This window comes from Homo sapiens, chromosome 12 (genome assembly GCF_000001405.40).
Source record: "Homo sapiens chromosome 12, GRCh38.p14 Primary Assembly".
Lineage (NCBI taxonomy): Eukaryota > Metazoa > Chordata > Mammalia > Primates > Hominidae > Homo > Homo sapiens.
In genome coordinates, this window is record NC_000012.12 from 131,946,319 (window position 1) to 131,969,530 (window position 23,212).

Sequence of the window (23,212 nt, forward strand, 5' to 3'; positions counted from 1 at the left end):
GCGGATCATGAGGTCAGGAGATTGAGACTATCCTGGCTAACACGGTGAAACCCCATCTCTACTAAAAATACAAAAAATTAGCTGGGCGTGGTGACATGCGCCTGTAATCCCAGCTGCTTGGGAGGCTGAGGCAGGAGAATCGCTTGAACCCAGGAGGTGGATGTTGCAGTGAGCCGAGATCGTGCCACTGCACTCCAGTCTGGGCGACAGAGCGAGACTGTCTCAAAAAAAAAAAAATTTTTTTTTAAGAGACAGGGTCTTGCTATGTTGCACAGGTGGTCTCAAACTCCTGGCCTCAAGTGATCCTCCTGCCTCAGCTTTTCAGTGTGCTGGGATCATAGGTGTGAACCACTGTACCTGGCCCAAAGATTTCTTAAGATGCAAAAAGTGAAAGAAAAAAGTGATAAATTGATTTTCACCAAAATTAATAGCTTCTCATTGGAACAGCCAGTCTGAAAAATTTGCTGAACCCATCATTTCACTTACTTGGACTCAGTATTTCATGCCTGGGGATGAAGCAGTAAGTCCTAAGGTGGGGAGTTGCAGTATGGTTTTCTCAGTGTGAGTGAGGATGGAAACCGTTGTGTCGTGGTGCTCCGTGTTGCCACTGGGCAGCACCACCTGTTACTTGTGTCCTGAATCCTGCACTAATGGCTGAATCAACACCTCACACCACCAACTCCTCTCCTCTCTTCTCCTTTAGCCGCTTCATCCTGGCTGCCCCTGCCTGGATTCCATAGTCCACCACTTCCAGGATTCTGTGCCTCCTTCAGACGGTGCCTTGGCATGAAAGCCCCTAGCCGTGGTTTTTACCCAACTGCTGGCCTTGTTTTTTTTTGGTTTTTTTGGTTTTTTTTTTCATAGCGGTGCTCTGTCGCCCAGGCTGGAGCGCAGTGTTGCGATCTCAGCTCACCGCAACGTCCAGCTCCTGGGCTCAAGTGATTCTTGTGGCTCAGCCTCCCGAATAGCTGGGACTACAGGCAGCACCATGACCAACTAATTTTTGTATTTTTAGTAGAGCCTGCGTTTCACCATGTTGGCCAGGCTGGTCTTGAACTCCTGAACTCAAATGATTCGCCCACCTCTGCCTTCCAAAGTATTGGGATTACAGGCATGAGCCACTGCACCCAATCAACTGCCAGCCTTCTAATGCTCATTTATGACGATGAGGGAGAATGTGATTGGTGCTGTGCTCTGTGTCCACTGTCACTGCCATTTCAACAGTCACCCAGAGTTTCTACTGGCAGACAGTCCCATGACACTTCTCTAAGTCAGTGTCTTCTCACCGGCATATCCGATTGCCTCCATTCTCCTCACCCCAGTGACCACTGTCCCATGCTCTCAGCAGGTGGGTCACTCCCACTCCAGGAGAGAATGGGGGCCAGGAAATGCCACTCCCCATCCTCTTGAATCCCACCCCAGGCTTGCACTTCCTGCTTTGCAGTGGAAGAGGTCTCCCTCTCTAGTGCCCATGCCCTCGATGGTTTCCCCGTTGTCTTTCTCCTGCCTTCTCAGACCTTGCACTTTCACTCTGTCTTTTCTCGTACCGTCAGCATGTCTACTGCCTCACGGCACTTCAACATGCAAAATCACTCCCCTCTGTTATCCACCTAATCTTATCCCCTTCCAACCTTCCCTCTGTCTCTTCCCTTTTATAGCCAAATTGTTTTCTCTTTAAAAATTTCAGTTTATTTATTTTTTATTTTTTGTAGAGATGAGGCCCAGGCTGGCCTTGAACTCCTGTGTTCAATATCCTCTTGTCTCAGCCTCTCAAAGTGCTGAGATTACAGGTAAGAGACACTGTGCCCAGCCAAAAATTTTCAGTGTGTTTAAAGTTAAGCATTCATCACTTTACCTCACAGCCCACATTTCTTTTTTAAAAAATAAATGCAGACATAATTCACATACATACCATAACATTCACCCTTTTAAAGTATATCATTCAGTGACTTTTAGTAAATTTATAAAGTTGTGTAACCATCAACACTATCTCATTTTATGACATTTTTATCAACCCAAAAAGGAAACCCCACATTCATTTGCAGTTACTGCCTATCCTCTCCCCACAGTCCCTGACAACCACTAATTTACTTTCTTTTTCTTTTCTTTTTTTTTTTTTTTGAGATGGAGTCTTGCTCTGTTGCCCTGGCTGGAGGGACAGAGTCTCACTCAGGCTGGAGTGCTATGGCATAATCACGGCTTCCTACACCCTCAGCCTCCCTGGGCTCAAGTGATTCTCCCTCAGTCTCCTGAGTAGCTGAGACTACAGGTGTATGCCACCATGACTGACTTTTAAATTTTTTGTAGAGATGGGGTCTCTCTATGTTGCCCAGGCTAGTCTTGAACTCCTGGGCTCAAGGGATACAACTGCCTCAGCCTCCCAAAGTGCTAGGATTACAGGCAACAGCCACCGTGCCTGCCCTTTTAATTGTTATGTTGTAAATTATTTACTTTGGACACGAGTTCCATGTCAGACATATGGACTTAAGGTAATTTCTCCTGTTCTGTGGATTATCTTTTTTAAATGGTGTCATTTGCAGCACAAAAGTTTTAAATTGTGATGATGTCCAATATATCTATGTTTGTTAGTTGCGTTTTCAGTGTCATATCTAAGAAACCATTTCCTAACCCACAACCCCGAAGATTTATGCCTATGTCTTTATCTGGAGACAGAATCTCATTCTGTTGCCCAGGCTGGAGTGCAGTGGCATGATCTCGGCTTACTGCAACCTCTGCCTCCCGTGTTCAAGCGATTCTCCTGCCTCAGCCTCCGGAGTAACTGGGATTACAGGCGCCTGCCACCACGCCCAGCTAATTTTTTGTATTTTTAATAGAGACAGGGTTTCACTATGTTGGCCCGGCTGGTCTGGAACTCCTGACCTTAAATGATCTTCCCGCCTCGGCCTCCCAAAGTGCTGGGATTATAGACGTGAGCTACGTCTGTGTCTTTTAATAGAGTTTTGTCGTTTTTGGCCGGGCGTGGTGGCTCACACATGTAATCCCAGCACTTTGGGAGGCCGAGGTGGGCGGATCACTTGAGGTCCGGCGTTCGAGACCAGCCTGGCCAACTTGGTGAACCAACCCCCCTACTAAAAATACAAAAAATTAACCAGGGGTGGTGGCGCGAGTCTGTGGTCCCACCCACTCGGGAGACTGAGGCAGGAGGATCACTGGAGTCCAGGAGTTCGAGGCCAGCCTGGGCCACACAGGGTTTGGGTCTTGCATGTGAGCCTGGTCTGTTTGGTGAATCTGCAGAGTGTGAGAGCTGGCGGCCCACTTCTGTTCCACGTGGGCGCATTTCCCGAACTGCGCGTGGAAAAGCCGGGCTGCCGCGACTCCGTCAGTCTCGGCCCCGCCCCCGCCTTCCTCAGTCTCGGCCCCGCCCCGCCTCCGTCTGTCTCGGACCGGCCCCGCCTCCGTCTGTCTGGGACCGGCCCCCCTCCGTCCCTCTCGGCCTTGGGTTCGGCCCCCGCCCACCCCGCAGAGTCTCGCGGCGCCCTAGTCCTCCGGCGCCCTCGACCTCCGGCGCCCTCGCGCGGTCAGAGCGGCGCCGCGGAAGCGCAGCTACGGGCGCGCGGACGCGCGTCCCTTCCGGCTCGCCGTAGCAGCCGCGCCGCCGCTTCCTCCCGCCGGGGCCCCGGATGCACTGAGCGGCTGCGGCGCGGCTTCCATCCTCCCGCCCTCCTGACGCGGCCGGAGCGCAGCCCTGAGGCCCAGGGTAAGTGAGGGCGGAGGCGCGGGACGGGGGCGGGAGGCTCTCGGGACGGCAGCGTCCAGGGTCCGGGGTCGCGTAGCCGCAGCCGCGGGCGTACAGGGCCCGCTCGCCGGCCGGCCTCGGGCGTCGCGTGGGGACCAGGCCGTGGCGGCTGTCGTGAGCGACCCCGGGCGGGCGACCGGGCTGAGGGCTCACGGGCCCGGGTCTTTCGAGTCGTAGCGCCCGTCCCCCGCAGGTCGCGCGATCCGCGCCCATTTCTCGTGGCCCCCCGGGCTCCTGGGCTGGGGGCGTGGCCGAGGGCAGCTCGGCGCGGCGGCGTTGCGGGAACCGGGGGACTCCGGCCCGCGCCTCCTGGTTCTCGGGGCTGAGGGGGTGGCTCTTGCTCCTGGCGCTTGCGTGGGCTTCCCTCGGGGTCACGGACGCGACGCTGAGATGCGGGGATGGGACGTCCAGAACCACTTTCCTGAGGCGCGACGGGGCGAATTCACTCAGAACTTAAGGACCCCGCGTCCCGGGCGTCCCGGAACGCGCCGCCACAGGGGTTACAGTGAGGTCCGAATCCGCTCCTTCTCGGCGTAGACCTGCCCGGTCCTCCACGGCGGAGCCTTAGTAATTGCCGCTGCCTCCCCGGGGGCGCCTCTCGTCACACACCTGCGGCCCACGGGCTTCTGCTCAGCTGTCGCTGTGTCAGTGACAGAAAAGTAACGTATCCCAGTGCTTTATTAGTAATTACTTTCTGAGACGGGGTCTCGCTCTGTTGCCCAGGTTGGCGTGCAGTGGCGCGATGACGGCTCACTAGAGCCTCGACCTCCCGAGTGGTTGGGACCAAAGGCTTGGGCCACCATGCCCGGCTCACTTTTTATTTTGTTTTGTTATTTTCTTTTGAGAAAGAGTCTCTCTCTGTCACCCAGGCTGGAGTGCAGTGGCGCGATCTCGGCTCACTGCAACCTCCGCCTCCCAGGTTCAAGCGATTCTCCTGCCTCAGCCTCCCGAGTAGCTGGGACTACAGGCGCCTGCCACCACGCCTGGCTATTTTTTTTTTTTTTTTTTTTTTTTGGATTTTTAGTAGAGACGGGGTTTCATCATGTTGGTCCGGCTGGTCTGGAACTCCTGACCTCGTGATCCGCCCCCTTGGCCTCCCAAAGTGCTGGGACTGAAGGCATGAGTCACCGCGCCTGGCCAGTTTTTTGTGTGTTTTAGTAGAGACGGGGTTTCACTGTGTTGCCTAGGCTGGTCTCGAACTCCTGAGCTCAGGCAGTCCGCCCACCTCGCCCTCGCAAAGTGTTAGGATTACAGGCATGAGCCACCATGCCCGGCCAATTTTTTATTATTTGAGTTGGGGTCTTGCTGTGTTGCTCAGGCTGGTCTCGAACTCCTGACCTCAAACAATCCTACCGCCTTGGCCTCCTAGTGCTGGGACTGTAGGCGTGAGCTACCGCGCCGGGACACGTGGAAGTGTTAATAGGGCTTCTCTCTGGGTTCGTGGATGAGTTGTATTCTTTTTTACTTATTTGTGTTGTCATTTTCTTTAGCAGAATATGTGCAATAAAATAATTTCTGTAATTATTCTTTTTATTGTTTTTTTGTAGACAGAGTCTCACTCTGTCTCCCAGGCTGGAGTGCAGTGGCGCGATCTCGGCTCACTGCAACCTCTGCCTGCCAGACTCAAGTGATTCTCCTGCCTCAGCATCCCGAGTAGCTGGGATTACAGGTGCCTGCCATCATGCCCAGCTAATTTTTTTGTATTGTTTGTTTGTTTTGAGACGGAGTTTTGTTCTTGTTGCCCAGGCTGGAGTGCAATGGCATGATCTCGGCTCACTGCAACCTCCGCCTCCCGGGTTCAAGCGATTCTCTTGCCTCAGCTTCCCAAGTAGCTGGGATTACAGGTGCCTGCCACCACACCTGCCTACTTTTTTTTTTTTTTTAATTTTTAGTAGAGAGGGGGTTTCAACATGTTGGCCAGGCTGGTCTTGAACTCCTGACCTCAGGTGATCTGCCCGCCTCGGCCTCCCCTTTGCTGGGATTACAGGCATGGTGAGCCACTGCACCTGGCCTTTTTTTTTGTATTTTTAGTAGAAAAATGGGGTTTCACCCCCCATCTCTACTAAAAATACAAAAAATTAATCGGGCGTGGTGGTGGGTGCCTGTAGTCCCAGCTACTCGGGAGGCTGAGGCAGGAGAATGGGGTGAACCTGGGAGGCGGAGCTTGCAGTGAGCGGAGATTGCGCCACTGCACTCCAGCCTGGGCGACAGAGCGAGACTCTGTCTCAAAAAAAAAAAAAAAAAAAAAAAGAAAAAGAAATAGGGTTTCACCATGTTGGCCAGGCTGGTCTCAAACTCCTGATCTCAGTGATCCACCCACTTCGGCCTCCCAAAGTGCTGGGATTACAGGTGTGAGCCACCGCGCCCGGCCCCAATAGCTTGTTTTTGTTTTTGTTTTTGTTGTGGAGACAGGGTCTTGCTCTGTCACCCAGGCTGGAGTGCAGTGGCATGATCATAGCTTTACTGCAGCTGTGACTTCTTGAGCTCAAGTGATCTCCTCCCAGGTAACTGGGACTATAGGTGTGTGGCACCACGCCGTGCTAATTTTTGATTTTTTGTAGAGACACTATCTCACTGTGTTGCCCAGGCTTGTCTTGAATTCTTGGACTCAAGACATCCTCTGGTCTCAGTCTCCCACCGTGTTGGAATTACAGGTTTGAGACACTGTTCCCAGCCTGTTTCTTTTTATTGTTGAGGAGTACTCCTTGGTGTGAACGTACCGGTTTGTCTGTTGCCCGCTGATGGACCATTTGGATTGTTTCCAGTTCTTTGTTTTCCATCTTTTTTTTTAATAAGGGTAACACATGAACAGTTCACATTGAAAGATATCCAAACAACACAGAAATACATAGAGCTCGTTAAGAGTTCCTTTGCCCTTTCTCCCCATTCATCAGCTCCCCACAGCTACCAAATTTGGAATTCATTTTTCTGGGTTTCTTTCCATACATCAGAACATGCATTCTCAGTGAGGGCGATATCTCCAACAAGGGAGTGAAAATTAGTTATTGGAAGAAGGGTGAAAAAACTTAGGCATTACAGTGATTTGTGGCCTCCCGAAGATCCCAGTTCCTGAACAGATGTACAGTGTGGTATATCTGTGTACAGCTGTAGTATTAAAATTCCATGGGGAGGCAATTAGGAGAGAAACTTATACAGATGTTCCTTAGCGGGGCCGTGGAAAAATAAAGATCAAGAAACAACAGTAGAATGATGGATTGGGGATTTATAACCTTATTATTTGGTGTTTGATGAAGCACTTCTTCAGTTTTTCTTGAACTTCTCTCACAAGCTGAAATAGATCCCACCTGTTCTAGTATAGGAGCTTTGGTTCATAAGGTTAAGGACCCACTACTACCTCCATGATTTAAAATCCTTGGAATTGTAGCCTGTTAAATGGAAGGGACATTGGAGACATTGAGGGGAGGCTTTCCTGTTGATCCACCATTACAGCACCCTGACAGGTCAGTTCTCTGTAGTAACATACAGTGTGATAAGCCCTAGACAATTTTCAAATTCAGTTTAGCCCACTTGGTATCATTCGGAATTTATATATTTCAGGAACTAGTATGGTACTTCTGTAATGTGCCCTTTGGTGGGAGAATAATGAAGGTTTTGTTAGCATATAGATCTTGGGTTAGTAGCTTTTAATTTGTTACGTGACATCTAGTGTTATCATCTTATATTGAAAGTATTTTTTGTAACATTTATTATGAAAAATTTCAAAGATACACAGAGATTGAAAGAATTTTGTGGTTGGCTGGGTGGGGTGGCTCACGCCTGTAATCCAAGCACTTTGGGAGGCTGAGGCAGGTGGATCATATGAGATCAGGAGTTTGAGACCACCCTGGCCAACGTGGTGAAACTCCGTCTGTACTAAAAATACAAAAATTAGCCGGTTGTGGTGGCTCACACCTGTAGTCCCAGCTACTCAGGAGGCTGAGGCATGAGAATCGCTTGAGCCCAGGAGACAGAGGTTGCAGTGAGCTGAGATTGCGCCGCAGCACTCGAGTTTAGGTGACTGAGTGAGACTCTGTCTTAAAAAACAAGAGAAAATTTTACGGTGAACACTAGTATACCTGCCACTTAGTTTCCATTAAACATTTTACCATACCTGCTTCATCATACCTTTTTATCCATTTGTCTTAAAATTAAAAAAAAAAAAACCAACACATTTCAAAATGTGTGTGTGTCAGCGTCTCTGTAGAGAGTTGAATTAAAATTAGGGGCCAGGCCAGGTGTGGTGGCTCATGCCTGTAATCCCAGCACTTTGGGAGATTAAGGCAGGAGAATTGTTTGAGCCCCAGTAGTTCGAGACCAGCCTGGGGAATATGTTGAAACCCTGTCTATACAAAAAAATACAAAAATTTGGCTGGGCGCAGTGGCTCGTGCCTGTAATCCCAGCACTTTGGGAGGTCGAAACAGGTGGATCACTTGAGGTTAGGAGTTGGAGACCAGTCTGGCCAACATAGTGAAACCCTGTCTCTATTAAAAATACAAAAATTGGCCGGGCGTGGTGGTGTACGCCTGTAATCCCAGCTACTCAGGAGGCTGAGGCAGGAGAATCGCTTGAACCCGGGAGGCGGAGGGCGCAGTGAGCCGAAATCACGCCAGTGCACTCCAGCCTGGGTGATAGAGTGAGACTCCATCTCAGAAAAAAAAAAAAAAAAAAAAAATGGGCGTGGTGGTGTGTGCCTATAGTCCCAGCTATTTGGGAGGCTGAGGTGGGAGGATTGCTTGTGGCCAGGAGTTTAAGACTAGCATAGGCAACATGGTGAAACCTCGTCTGTACAAAAAATACAAAAATTAGCTGGCTGTGGTGGCGTGTAAGTCCCAGCTACTCAGGAGGCTGAAGTGGGAGGTTTGCTTGAACCTGGAAGGCAGAGGTTACAGTGGGCCAGGATTGTGCCACTATACTGCAGCCTGGGTGACAGAGTGAGACCTTATGTCAAAAAAAGAGAAAAAATTAGGAGTAAAAATTGAGTTAAAATTAGAAACTTAGTCGTTAAAAATTTTTAAAGTTGTTTAGCCACCATTGGTAGCTTTGCTATCCATTAGGATACCTGTACTATGTTTTTGAGAAGTGTTATTTTAGATAAACAGTTTCTTTGCATTATAGTTGATTGTCTTTGTTTCTCTAATGTGGCTATAACATCACTGAGGTCAGGAACCATTTAATAAAATTGAAGTATAATTTACATATGGTAAAAGTTTATGCTTTTTTTTTGAGACGGAGTTTCGCTCTTGTTGCCCAAGCTGGAGTGCAATGGTGTGATCTTGGCTTACTGCAACCTCCGCCTCCTGGGTTCAAGCAATTCTCTTGCCTCAGCCTCCCGAGTAGCTGGGATTACAGGTGCGCACCACCATGCCCGGCTAATTTTGTATTATTGGTAGGGATGGGGTTTCTCCACGTTGGTCAGGCTGGTCTTGAACTCCGGACCTCAGGTGATCCACCCGCCTCAGCCTCCCAAAGTGTTGGGATTACGGGCGTGAGCCAGCGTGCTCATCCAAGTTTATGCTTTTTAGTGTATGGTTGAATTTTTTTTCTTAGTCCATTTAATGTTGCCATCTGTGTACTTTTTGTTTTTTTGAGACAGAATCTCGCTCTGTTGCCCAGGCTGGAGTGTAGTGGTGTGATCTTGGCTCATTGCATCCTCCACCTCCCAGGTTCAAGGGATTCTTCTTCCTCAGCCTCCCGAGTAGCTGTGATTACAGGAACATGCAACCATGCCCAGCTAATTTTTGTATTTTTAGTAGAGACGGGGGTTTCACCATGTTGGCCAGGCTGTTCTCGAACTCCTGACCTCAGGTGATCCGCCCGCCTCGGCCTCCCAAAGTGCTGGGATTACAGGCATGAGTCACTGCACCCAGCCCATCTGTGTACTTTTGAGAGACACATTCCATCTTGTAACCATTATCACAAATCAAGCTGTAGCTACGGTTCTTTACTTCCCCATTTCCTCATGCATCTCTCTAGTCAGCTCCATCTCCGCCTTCAGCCCCTGTCAGGTTCTGTTCTAGTCTCTGTCCCCACCATTCTCCTTGTCCGGAATGTCATGCCAGTGACCCACGCAGCCCTCGGCCTCTGTTACTTGGCATCTTGCACCTGAGACTCAACTGTGTTGTGGGTGTGTCAGTGGTTTGTTCCTTGGCGTTGCTGGGTTGTGTCTGTTGTATGGCTGTATCATGGTTTGATGTGTCTGCTCATCAGGGGAAGGTCAGTTTTAATATTCTGATACGTTTCAGTGGGTCCTTTTCTGTATGTTTAACTTAGTGATTGTGTTATGCAATTGGTAACCTGCTTTTTTCACTTAATGTATCTGGAAATTTTGGTTTTATTACTTATTTTCCATCTAGAACTTCAACATTGGAAATTTCTGATTATGCTTTTTAATTTTTTTTGTTATTCTACAGTGAGTATTGTTTATGTACAGTTTTTTAGGTTGGTAGGTTAATTTCCTTCGGGTAGATTTCTAGAAGTAGGGTTACTAGGCCAAAGGTTTTGGGGTCACATGGGTTCATTCCACTTTCCTACTGCTGTATGCAGTCTACTCCTACAGGGCGTTTTTTGGGTTCTGAACCCATTTGAAATCTTTTCTACACCTTCCCAAATTGCTTCTGTAATTCCCTTTAGCAGGATTAGTGGAGTGCCAGTTGTCTGATTTAATGTCTTGGCTAAGTGGATCTAGGGAAATATTTATTTTAGTCTGTATTCCTCTTTTTAGTAGCAAGGTTGGTCATTTTCCTCTAAGCTGGTTAAGTACATGCTTTTCTCCTTTTGTGAACTGTCTTTTTTTGTCCTTTTTTTTTTTTTTTTTTTTAGGAGTCTCACTCCTTTGCCCAGGCTGGAGTGCAGTGGCAAGCCCTTGGCTCACTGCAACCTCCACCTCCTGGGTTCAAGCAATTCTCCTGCCTCAGCCTCCCAAGTAGCTGGGATTACAGGCATGTGCCACCACGCCCGGCTAATTTTTTGTATTTAATAGAGACAGGGTTTTACCATATTGGTCAGGCTGGTCTCAAAGTCCTGACCTCAGGTGATCCACCCACCTCAGCCTCCCAAAGTGCTGGGATTACAGGCATGAGCCACTATGCCCAGCCTCTTTTTGTCTTTAATTAATTTTTCTACTGGGATTTTAATGTTTTTCTTACCGATTTGTATGAGTGCTTTTTATGGTATTGGTAATAGCTTTTTGTCGTACCTAGTTCAAATATTCTTTCCAAGATAATTTGGTTTTAGATTTTGATGATTTACTTTTTGAGTTTTAAACATTTAAAAATTATCTTCAAATCTTTCTATTTTTTCAGTTACAACTTTATTATTTTTAAGGTTAGGAAATTGAATTTCCTTCAGAGATTTAGTAAATACTCACTTTTGTGTTCGGTTTTTTAATGTTTTGGTTTTTTTTTTTTCCTGTCACCTACCAGAAGGAACGTTTTGATTTTTCTTTCTTTCTTTTTTTTTTTTTACATTAAATGTAAAACTTGGAAAGTTAGCTTATAAAAATGCTTTATTTATTTATTTATTTATTTATTTGCTTGTTTGAGACAGTTTTGGTTTTGTTGCCCAGGCTGGAGTGCAATGGCTCAGTCTCGGCTCACTGCAACCTCCGCCTCTCAGGTTCAAGCGATTCTTCTGCCTCAGCCTCCCAAGTAGCTGGGATTACAGACGTGTGCTACCACGCCCAGCTAATTTTTGTATTTTTAGTAGAAATGGGGTTTCACCATGTTGGTTAGGCTGGTGTCGAACTCCTGACCTCCAGTGATCCGCCTATCTTGGCCTCCCAAAGTGCTGGGATTACAGGCATGAGCCACCAGACCCCACCATGTAATTTATTTTGATGTATGGTTTGTGATGAGAGTTTAAGTTGAATTTCTCAATGCATTAATTTGTTTTTATGACATAACTTTAAAATTCCTAACCCTTACCTTTCCCCTGGTTTTCTGAATTACTATATGTGAGAGAGTTTCTTTCTAGCCCTCATTTTCTCTTACTGATCTCCTTTGACACTCTGGGAATGTATTGTAAGGAAATAATCCCGAATATACTCTACCTATGTTAATTTAGCTTTTGTGCCAGTTTCACACTAATCTCCTATCATAATGTTTGTTTAGTAAGATCAGGAACAGAAGCTTGTTTTGAAAGTAATAAGCATTGTTAACTGCCCCCACCTGGAGCTCCTGTCCCCTGCACCCACTCTGATGGGCTCTCTGCCGGGTGGTGGGAGGGGCATGCTCTTGGGTGTCTCTGTGGCCTTGCTCTTCCCTTAAGATCTGTTTGTTGCAGCCTGCGTGCTGTCTTCTGACTCCATCTTCAGAAACTAACCATCTGATCAAAGCATGCCTTTCTGCTGCTAGTTTAAATATGCACTTTTTAAATGTTTGTTAGGAATATGCTTGTGCATTTATAAATTCTGTAGTCTTTGATTTCATATATACATGTATTTCAGCCAGGTACCCAAGACTTAGAAGAGCCTTATACGTTTTGTAACTTCTTTTTTTGGAGATGGAATCTTGTTCTTCATTGCAGCATCGATTTCCTGGGCTCAGGCGGTCTCCTTTGGCCTCCTGAGTAGCTGAGACTAAGGCTGCTACATTGCCACCATGGCTGGCTAATTTTTGTATTTTTCTTGTAGAGATGGGGTCTCACTATGTTGCCTAGGCTGGTCTTGTACACCTGACCTCAAGTGATCCTCCTGTCTCAGCCTCCCCAGGTGCTGGCATTACAGGTGTGAGCCACCATGCCTGGCCATTTTTTATCTTCTGTAGATTCATGGTTTTTAAAAATCCGTTGTCCATTTTCTCACAGAGATAAGCAGTGATGTCCTTGCGATGAACAAGGGGTCTTGTTTGTCTTGGAGTAAGCAAGAAGAAGCTCCCTGATAGCTGTCCAGCCAGGGTTGAGGTGAAGGCACCTCAAGAAGACAGGGGCACCTGGGTGTGTCCAGCAGGACTGGAGAAGTCTGAATGGTGGCACCCAGGTCAAGCTGGCTTCTGTGGCAGGCCTAAGTGTGAACTGGAACATTGCGGAGTGGTGTGGCTCCTCACCCACTGGCTCAGTGCTAAACTGTGCCACCAAGAGTCCATCTGCTTCCCTTGAAAACTTGAATGAGATTTTTGCTCCTTTATGACAGAAGTTAGCTATTAAATAGATTGAAGCAGCAGCTGCCCCCTTGATGTGGGACAGTGTCCAACCTCTCCTCTTGGAACGCTGGCACTGATTTGGGTGCCAGGTGCCACTCACCATTGCGTTTGCACCCTTGCTTCTCTTAGGGGAGAAAGAGCGACCACAGTGGGGAACAGACGGGGCTGCAGTGGTGGGGCTCACTGCTTATCTTTAGTCCTCCTTTCCCCTGTAGATACTGGAGTCTGTAGCCCAGGTCTGACCCTGTCTCACCACAGGATTACCCTTGTCTGCTCCATCCTCTGCTTCATCCTGTCCTGAAACCTGACTTTCCTCAGTGGCCCCTTCTGCTCCTCCCCTGCTGTTTCTCATCCACTTGTGCTCAGCAGCGTTTGGGTTACAGCTCCTTTGAGATTGTGGTACAGCCTCCCAGAGAGTTTGCAAAGCCAGAAAGGCAACTCACCCCAGAGTGAGAGCCAGGTCCTGGCCATCTCCTTCTCTCTCCCTTGAGACCTTCTCACAGTTTCTTCTCTTCGTGTGTTCTTAGGGAGAATGTTGAGATCTGAGGCTGTTCCCTACCTTCCACTCCAGGACTTGGTGTCATGTTTTCTCCTAGCTCCTGGCACAGGCTGGCAGCCTCCCCAGGGCAAGGACTGTCTTACCCGTGTCTGTCTCTACTCTCCTGCAGTAGCCCCGGGCCTGACACACAAATGGGGCTCTGTGTCTTTGAATTGGATTTACAAGAGGAGAGTTTGCAGTTGAGGTAGTCCTGGAGGTTGATAAGAACTACTGGCTGGGGAGGGCTGGGTATTTGCTTCTGGCGAGGTGGTGCTGCACACCCTCATTCAGCAAGGGTCACAGAATGCCTCCTGGGCTCTGGGCAGCTGGGAGCAGGGAGTTGTCCCTCCATAGGGAGAGACGGGCGGAAGCCGGAAAGTCCACAGCGTGAATGTTGGCTTCAGACCTTGCTCTTCTGCCTGCTGGCTGCGTGGCCTTGAACAGCTCACAGATACTCCTGTAGCTCAGTCTCCTAGTCCTTCAAATGGGGTGTGAGTAGTACCTACCCCACAGGGCGGCCATGAGGATTTGAGGGATGGCCTGGTCTCTCCAAGCGCCCACACAAGTTAGCTGTTGAGGTCAGCGATGATCGGTATGTTCCTCCCTCAGTAGGTGGTTTAGATTACCCACCCACTCCCGTGTGGCCCACCCTGGGCACAGCAGTGACTGAGGACACATTTCTCCAGCTGTGCCATATTGAATGTGAGTCAGCTCTGTCGTTTGAATCAGATGCGGTGGGAATGTACTTTCAAAGTGTCTTTTCAGTGCTGTTAAGTGTCAATAAAACAGTTATGTGTGCCTTCAAGTGACTTGATTTTAATTTTAATTTTTAGGAGAACGACACATTGGATACAGAAGGGAGGTGATCATGCACCATGGCACTGGCCCCCAGAACGTCCAGCATCAGCTGCAGAGGTCCAGGGCCTGCCCTGGCAGCGAGGGTGAGGAGCAGCCGGCCCACCCCAACCCACCCCCGTCCCCCGCAGCTCCCTTCGCTCCCTCAGCAAGCCCGTCGGCACCCCAGTCTCCCAGTTATCAAATACAGCAGCTGATGAATAGGAGCCCTGCAACCGGGCAGAACGTGAACATCACCCTGCAGAGCGTGGGCCCTGTCGTCGGGGGAAACCAGCAGATCACACTGGCCCCACTGCCGCTCCCCAGCCCCACCTCTCCAGGCTTCCAGTTCAGCGCTCAGCCTCGGCGGTTTGAGCATGGGTCTCCATCATACATTCAGGTCACGTCCCCCTTGTCCCAGCAGGTCCAGACCCAGAGTCCCACGCAGCCCAGTCCGGGGCCGGGGCAGGCCTTGCAGAATGTGCGTGCAGGTGCCCCTGGCCCTGGGCTGGGCCTCTGCAGCAGCAGCCCTACAGGGGGCTTCGTGGATGCCAGCGTGCTGGTGAGGCAGATCAGCTTGAGCCCCTCCAGTGGTGGACACTTTGTGTTTCAGGATGGGTCAGGGCTCACCCAGATCGCCCAGGGAGCCCAGGTTCAGCTCCAGCACCCGGGTACGCCCATCACAGTCCGAGAGCGGAGACCCTCCCAGCCCCACACACAGTCAGGGGGCACCATCCACCACCTGGGACCCCAGAGCCCTGCAGCCGCGGGTGGGGCCGGCCTGCAGCCCCTGGCCAGCCCAAGCCACATCACCACGGCTAACTTGCCACCGCAGATCAGCAGCATCATCCAGGGCCAGCTGGTTCAGCAGCAGCAGGTGCTGCAGGGGCCGCCGCTGCCCCGGCCCCTGGGCTTCGAGAGGACACCCGGCGTGCTGCTCCCCGGGGCTGGGGGCGCAGCGGGGTTTGGGATGACGTCCCCACCCCCGCCCACCAGCCCTTCCAGGACTGCCGTGCCCCCAGGCCTTTCCAGCCTCCCACTCACGTCTGTGGGGAACACGGGAATGAAGAAGGTTCCCAAGAAGTTAGAGGAGATTCCCCCAGCCTCTCCGGAGATGGCACAGATGAGGAAGCAGTGCCTGGACTATCATTACCAGGAGATGCAGGCTCTGAAGGAGGTCTTCAAGGAGTATTTGATTGAACTGTTTTTCTTGCAACACTTTCAAGGGAACATGATGGATTTCTTAGCTTTCAAGAAGAAACATTATGCCCCATTACAAGCATATCTTAGGCAGAATGATTTGGACATTGAAGAAGAGGAGGAGGAGGAGGAAGAGGAGGAAGAAAAATCTGAGGTTATCAATGACGAGGTAAGAAACAGGAGTTAATTTGTTTAGTACAAATCTTCTAGATGATCAGAGTCTATGCGACAATGAATTAAGTAATAATTTATTGAGCCTGCGGTATTTCTAAGGTATTTCTAAGGTGTTGGGGCAAGGATTTGACCCATAAGTAAAAGTGAAGAATGTGTTTGGCCTCCTTCATGGGAAGGAAGAGCTGTTGAGCGCAGAAGTGTGTCAGGAGGAAGGGACGGAGCTGCGCTATGATGAGTGCGTCTTCAACACCCAGTGTTTTCATTGAGCACCAAGGATTCATCTCAGGTTCAGAGAACTCAGCAAGCGTGTCCAGTTTTTTTCCCCTTGTATCTGGGTGTGTGGTTTGTTGGCTGACGCTGACAGCTGTCACCAGCCAAACGTGTGAAAGCCCAGCACCCTTTGTCTGGTTTTCCAAGTTTCACATTTTACTCGTATAGATCTCCTTAAAAACACCATCAGCATGGTTTTCAAACAGATTTAAGTCACTAGCTTTTTATAATAACCAGCCATAAGTCACTAGATGTATGTATATGGGACCTTCATCATTAAAATAGTTATTATGGCAAAAAACTGTTTGAGAAGTTATTCAATTTTTAGATGTAGTCTCAAGATTTGAGATCATACTTTAAACTCATTTTTACAAATACCTATTAAGTGATATTTAAGAGTGACTCTTTTTTAGAGAGTATACTTTTTGGGTGCCTGGAATGGCACATAATAAACCCCCTACCTGAGATTTCTTAGTACCATGGTGAGTCTGAGACTTCCTGAAAACCAGGGTGAGAGTGAATTGGACTGTGACACACTGTATTTTGTGCCTTTGTGTTGTGTAGTGTATACTATGTTGGTGGAGCTTATTTTGTTTTATGATACAGTTAAAATAATTTAAATCTTTGTCAGCTCTTCTGCAAAGAAATCTGCTTTTGCTGAACAAAAGCTAGTCTCTTTGCTCAAGCAGTCCTTACTGGTATCTATGGATGTATTTGTGTGGCTTTGCCATTTTGTGTTTTCTTTTAACACCTTTTCCAGGATGGACCATATTTGTTTTTCAACAGGTTTATATGATTATTTTGAGGATTTCACCTCTATTGTCCTGAAATAGTAAAATTCATTTCTGTTACGTTTGTATACCAATGTTGTCTGTAAGCTCAATCCCCCTTACCTGTGCTTAGAAAGAAAAACAAATTCGTTTTTCCAACTTCCTGCTGAAAAAGACCTTTGCCATTCTGACCCTACATATAACAGAGTGGCTATTCTGCAAATTTCCTAGGGAGTTGGTAGGGCTTTGTTACTTGAAGTCTGTCTGCCATATGCATTTTTAAAGTTTGAAGTTGCAGAATCTAAAGATATTGCACTTTGACTTAAATTGGAGTTTCTGCAAGGTTTGCAGTTTGAGTTAGGTTGTTGTGCTATAAATCTGTCAGTTCAGTATCCTTTCACAGGAATTGATGCAAAAACATTCCATTTTTAAACCCCAAATGTCAGTGAGCTATCAGCAATAAAATTCTAACAAAATTTTGAGCAGTTGTAAAAATTATGTTGCCTTTTTTTCTCAAAATATTTCCTCTCAGGTAAAGGTTGTGACAGGAAAGGATGGGCAGACTGGGACTCCCGTTGCTATAGCAACCCAGCTTCCGCCAAAGGTTTCTGCTGCTTTTTCATCCCAGCAGCAACCATTTCAGGTACTTTTCGATGGTTCTCAAATGTAGTCTCATCCCAAACTTTTCCTTCATCCAGATATTTTAACCTTCGATATACTACTTGCTCTTCAGCATTTTTTTTCCAGAGCCCATTTCTTATTTTTCAACAGTAAAAAATCTTCCTGCGTATACAATTATAAAATTAAATTGCATGAGTTAATGATGACACAGATCTTAGTGCATTACTTTCTTTCGTATACTTGTAATGCGGTAGTAGCTTTAGCATGCATGTCATCTAATAGTCCTGTTGAATGTATGCTCAGGATTCCTTGTGTGCTGTGTTTTCAATGTTGGTTCTTTCTTGTGTCCTTTATTTTGAGAACAGTGCAAAACAGAATAAGAAAAAAAAGATTCAAGTAGATGATAAATTGGTATTTTCCATAGCTAGAGGAAATGCTGAAGTGAAATACACTTCTGAAATCATCAGGACCACAGGCTTCTAAACGGATATTAAGTGAATGCAAACTGATTATTTTTAATTTTTTGCAAATTCACTCAGTGTTAAATTAGTAATGCCAATAATTTAAAAACACAGGTCACTCACGCCTGTAATCCCAGCACTTTGGGAGACTGAGGTGCATGGATCACCTGAGGTCAGGAATTCGAGACCAGCCTAGCCAACAGGGTGAAATGCTGTCCCTACTAAAACTATGAAAATTAGCTGGGCATGGTGGTGCATGCCTATAATCCCGGCTACTCAGGAGGCTGAGGCAGGAGAATTGCTTGAACCTGGGAGGCGGAGGTTGCAGTGAGCCGAGATTGTGTCACTGCACTCCAGCCTGGGCAGTAGAGCAGGACTCCGTCTCAAAAACAAACAAACAAACAAACAAAAACCAAACAAACCATCAAATTTCTACTAGCTTTGGAATAGATAGTGTTGGGTTGTGAAAGCAGTTTCATCCTTGGGATTTTTGTTGTTACTTTAAATTTTGATTTAATTTCAAATGTACATAATAGTTGCAATTAATTATTTTAAAAACCCCTTATATCCTTTACCAAATTTATCAGTTGTTTTTGCCCCATTTGCATTATTTTCATTCTCATATATATACACATATCTAAAACATCATATCCTATTCTTTTATCTGTAAATACTTCAGCATGTATTAGATAAGAATGTTTCCTTACCTAATCACAGTACAGTGATAAATATCAGGAAATTGTACAGTAGTACAATAATACATTCTAATCCATAGTTTATATTCAAATTTCATCTCTTGTCTCAAGGATGTCCTTCATAGTGTTTCTTTCCCCCTAGTCCAGTATCAAGTTGTCATGCCTCTCTGGCCTTTTTAATCTGGGTTGGTTTCTTAGTCTTTCATGACCTTGGCTTTGGCCTGGGCCTGGGCGTTAAAAAGTACAGACCAATTATTTTGTACAGTGTCCTTTGATGTGGGATTGTCTGATGTTTTCTTGTGTCCTCTTTGGATCATGTATTTTTGAGAAGATTGCTATAGAAGTAATGATATGTCCGTTTCAATGTGTCTTATCAGAAGGGTGTGATGTCACTTTGTCCTATAACTAGTAATGTTAACTCTGACCACTTCGTTAAGGTGGTTTCTACCAGGCCTGTCCAGTGGAAATTTATTTATTTTTCCTTTTTTAAATGATGAGTAATTTGGGGGAAGATACTTTGAGACTATGTAAATATCCTGAATCTCCTTAAACTTTTACCCACTAGTTCTAGCATCTGTTGGTGAGTCTTGCCTGAATCAGTTATTACTATAAAGAATCCATGCTGGGTTTTCTAACTCCATCATTCTGTCTACATTTATTAGAATCAGTAGGCTGTAATATATCACTATCAGTATTTATTTGCTTATGTTTGTTTAAACTTATTTAATGTACATTCAGTAAAATGCACTGTTTTTTAGTCTGTACTTGTGAATTTTGACGAATCCATTGAGTTGTGTAACCACCACCACAGTCAAGCAACAGAAGCTCCATCACCTCCCAAAATGTTCCCTCATCAACCCTTCACGCCTCCCTTGACCTTTGTTCTCCATCGCTAATGATTTTGCCTTTTCCAGAATGAATATCTATGGAATCCTAGTCTGGGTTGCTTTTCAGTCTGGCTTCTTTCACTTAAGATAATGCATTTCAGATTCATCTACTTTGTTTTATTTACCATTAATTTGTTCTTTTTATTGCTGAGTGCTATTCCATTGTGTGAATGTGCCCCAGTTTGTTTATCCATTTACCCTTTAAAGAATATTTGGGTTGTTTCCAGTTTTCAGAATTTGGGAATAAAGCTGCTACAAATGTTCACATACAGTTTTTCATGTCAACATAGGTATTCATTTCATTTGGATAAATGCCTAGGAGTCAAAGAGTCTCTCTGAAAGTATTCTGGTTTGGGTGGCTGGCTGGCTGATTTCAAAAAAAAAAAAAAAGAAAAACTAGGAATCAGATTTCTGGGTATGTTGAACTTTATTAAGAACCCGTCCGGCCGGGTGCAGTGGCACACACCTGTAATCCCAGCACTTTGGGATGCTGAGGCGGGAGGATTGCTTGAGGCCAGAAATTTAAGACCAACCTGGGCCAGGCACTGTGGTTCACGCCTGAAATCCCAGCACTTTGGGAGGCCAAGGTGGAGGATCACTTGAGGCTGGGAATTTAAGACCAGCCTGGACTAGGCATGATGGCTCATGCCTGTAGTCCCAGCACTTTGGGAGGCCTACATGGGTGGATTACCTGAGGTCAGTAGAGACCAGCTTGGCCAACGTGGTGAAACCCTGTCTCTGCTAAAATTGCAAAAATCAGCTGGGCATGGTGGCACACGCCTGTAATTCCAGCTTCTCAGGAGGCACGAGAATTGCTTGAACCCAGGAGGCGGAGGTTGCAATGAGCTGAGACAGCGCCACTGCACACCAGCCTGGGCCACAGAGTGATACCCTACCTCAAAAAAAAAAAAAAAAAAAAAAAAAGACCACCCTGTCTCTACTAAAAATTAAAAAATTAGGCCGGGCGTGGTAGCTCATGCCTGTAATCCCAGCACTTTCGGAGGCTGAGGCAGGCAGATCACCTGAGGTCAGGAGTTTGAGACCAGCCTGGCCAACATGGTGAAACTCCATCTCTACTAAAAATACCACAATTAGCCGGGCATGGTGGCGGGCACCTGTAATCCCAGCTACTTGGGAGGCTGAGGCAGGAGAATCACTTGAACTTGGGAGGTGGAGGTTACAGTGAGCCGAGTTCACCCCATTGCACTCCAGCCTGGGTGACAAGAGTGAGACTTGTCTCAAAAAAAAAAAAAAAAAAAAAACCTATGTGTAGTGATACACACCTGTAGTAGTCCCAGCTACTTGGAGGCTGAGGTGGAAGGATTGCTTGAGTCCTGGAGTTCGAGGGTGCAGTGAGTCGTGGACATGCCAGTGCACTCCATCCTGGGCCACAGGGCCACATAGTGAGACCCTGTCTCAAAAAAATAAAAAGGTGGCTAGGTGCGGTGGCTCATGCCTGTAATTCCAGCACTTTGGGAGGCCGAAGGGGGGCGGATCACTTGAGGTCAGGAGTTCGAGACCAGCCTGGCCAACGTAGTGAAACCCCGTCTCTACTAAAAATGCAAAAATCAGCTGGGCGTGGTAGTGGGCGCCTGTAATCCCAACTACTCGGGAGGCTGAGGTAGGAGAATTGCTTGAACCCAGGAGATGGAGGTTGCAGTGAGCTGAGATCATGCCACTGCACTCCAGCCTGGGTGACAGAGCAAGACTCTGACTCAAAAAAATAAATAAATAAATAAAAAGGCTGGGCACAGTGGCTCATGCCTGTAATCCCAGCACTTTGGGAGGCCGAGGCTGGCAGATCAGTTGAGGCCAGGAGTTCGAGACCAGCCTGACCAACATAGTGAAACCCCATCTCTACTTAAAAAAAAAAAAAATTAGCCAGGCGTAGTGGCGTGCCGCTGTAGTCCCAGCTACTTGGGAGTCTGAGGCAGGAAAATCTCTTGAACCTGGGAGGCGGAGGTTGCAGTGAGCCAAGATGGCACCACTGCACTCTAGCCTGGGCGACAGAGTGAGACTCTGTCTCAAAAAGAAAAAAAAAAAAAGATTCAAAGAAACTTCCAAACTTTCTCAAAGTGCCTGTACCATTTTGTGTTCCCAGTAGCAATGTATGATAGTTCTCTTCGTTTTGCTTCTTCTCTAGTACTTGTTATTGTCAGTTTTCTTTTTTAATCATTCCAGGTCTAGTTTATTTTAATTTGGATGTCTCTGAAGACTAATAAAGTTGAGCATTTTTTCATTTGCTGTTCGTATATCTTTGACAAAGTATCTGTTCATGTCTCACCCATTTTTTCAGAGTTATTACTGCATTTGAAAATTCTTCACATAATATGGACATGTTTTTTGTCAGCTACATGTTTTGCAAGTATTTTTTCCTGTCTTTGGCTTGTTTTTTTCTTCTCTTAAGACTATCTTTTTCAGAACAAAAGTTTTAAATTTTGTGGAAGTACAATTTATCGTTTTTTTCTTTTATGGATTTGCTTTTGATGCCATATCTAAGAGCTCTGCTCAATCCAGGGTCAGAAAGATGTTCTTCTGTGTTGTCTCGTAGAAGTTTTATAGTTTTACTTTTAGATCTATGATTTATTTTGCGTAAAATTTTGTGTAACATGGCAAATATAAGAAATTTGCATGTGAATGTTCAGTTGTTCCATGCCATTTCTTGAACAGACGATCTATGTATGTTGAGTTGACTTGCACCTTTGCCAAAGATGAGTTGATACTTTTATGGTTCTGTTTCTGGATTCTCTTCTCTTCCCGTCTCTTTATGTGTTTTTCTCTGCCAGTGTCACACTATTGTGATTACTATAGCTTTATGTAAGTTTTGAAGTCAAGTAGTGTGAGTTCTCCAAGTTTGTTCTCCTTTTTCAAAATTATTTTGGTCATTCTGGTTCCTTTCCCTTTTTGTATACATTTTAGAATGAGCTTGTTGATATCTACAAAACATCTTGCTGGGATTTTGATTAGAATTGTGTTGCGTCCATTGACCTGTTTAGGGAGGAGTGATATCTTAACAATATGAGTCTTCCAGTCCATGAATATGGTGTATCTCTCCATTTATTTCAGTATTCTTTGATTTCTTTCATCAACATTTTGTAACTTTCAGCATACCATATATTTTCTTAGGTTTATACCTCAGTATTCCAATTTTGGGGGGTATTATAAGTAGTACTTAAAAAAATTTCCAGCTGTTTATTGTAAGTATATAGGTATACAGTTGATTATTTGAACCTACATTCTGCAACCTTGCTAAACTCATTTATTAGTTTTAGGAGCTTTTTTGTAGATTCCATGGGATTCTCTACATAGAGAATCATGTCTGCAAATAGAGCAGGATTTTTTTTCTTTTTCAATCTGTATGCTTTTTATTTCTTTACTTTTCTTTTTTTTTTTTATCGTATTGGCAAGGGCACCCAGTATGATCTCCTTCCTGATCTAGGGGGAAGGCAGTTAGTCTTCCACCTTTAAGTAAGATGTTAACTGTAGATTTTGCAGATGTTCTTTATCAAGGTAATAAAATTCCCTTTTACTCCTAGTATATCATGAATTGATGTTGAATTTTGTCAAATACATCTATTGACAGTGATATGTGGTTTTTCTTCTTTAGTCTGTAAAAATGGTAAATTATATTAAATTGAGGCATACTTTAAAAACAGAACACACAGATCTTCAGTGTTAACAGTTTGCAGAGTTTTGACAAGTACATACACCCATGTAACCCATACAATGGTCAACATGTCCATTTCTATCACTCCATGAAGTTGCCTGATGCTCCTTGCCAGTCATTTACTGCCCAGCCCCCCTCCTGGTGGTTCTGTTATTATTTATTTTGATGCTCAGGTTATCTGTGATTGGCCAATTGGAGCC

At 46.2% G+C, this 23,212-nt stretch overlaps 1 protein-coding gene across 1 annotated transcript in view, besides 4 other annotated features; it reads left to right on the plus strand.

The window, feature by feature from the left end:
- Window positions 3,196-3,245: a silencer, noted in NCBI's record as "silent region_5108". NCBI's record gives its function as "represses an Ori minimal core promoter by ATAC-STARR-seq in GM12878 lymphoblastoid cells {active_cell/tissue: GM12878}" and the evidence as "EXISTENCE:reporter gene assay evidence [ECO:0000049][PMID:35858748]".
- Window positions 3,336-4,035: a silencer, noted in NCBI's record as "silent region_5109". NCBI's record gives its function as "represses an Ori minimal core promoter by ATAC-STARR-seq in GM12878 lymphoblastoid cells {active_cell/tissue: GM12878}" and the evidence as "EXISTENCE:reporter gene assay evidence [ECO:0000049][PMID:35858748]".
- EP400 (E1A binding protein p400) overlaps window positions 3,624-23,212 on the plus strand; it is a 130,519-nt gene continuing 110,930 nt past the window's right edge. Inside the window, exons 1-2 of the mRNA NM_015409.5 lie at window positions 3,624-3,718; window positions 14,267-15,636. Coding sequence (NP_056224.3) covers window positions 14,302-15,636 — 1,335 coding nt within the window. The 5' untranslated portion in view covers window positions 3,624-3,718; window positions 14,267-14,301. The remainder of the gene's footprint in view (window positions 3,719-14,266; window positions 15,637-23,212) is intronic.
- Window positions 4,088-4,795: an enhancer, noted in NCBI's record as "H3K27ac-H3K4me1 hESC enhancer chr12:132434951-132435658 (GRCh37/hg19 assembly coordinates)". NCBI's record gives its function as "activates a minimal SCP1, AML or CMV promoter by ChIP-STARR-seq in primed H9 embryonic stem cells {active_cell/tissue: H9 hESC(primed)}" and the evidence as "EXISTENCE:reporter gene assay evidence [ECO:0000049][PMID:30033119]".
- Window positions 8,386-8,680: a silencer, noted in NCBI's record as "tiled region #13568; K562 Repressive DNase matched - State 14:Gen5'". NCBI's record gives its function as "represses a minimal TATA promoter and a strong SV40 promoter by Sharpr-MPRA in K562 cells {active_cell/tissue: K562}" and the evidence as "EXISTENCE:reporter gene assay evidence [ECO:0000049][PMID:27701403]".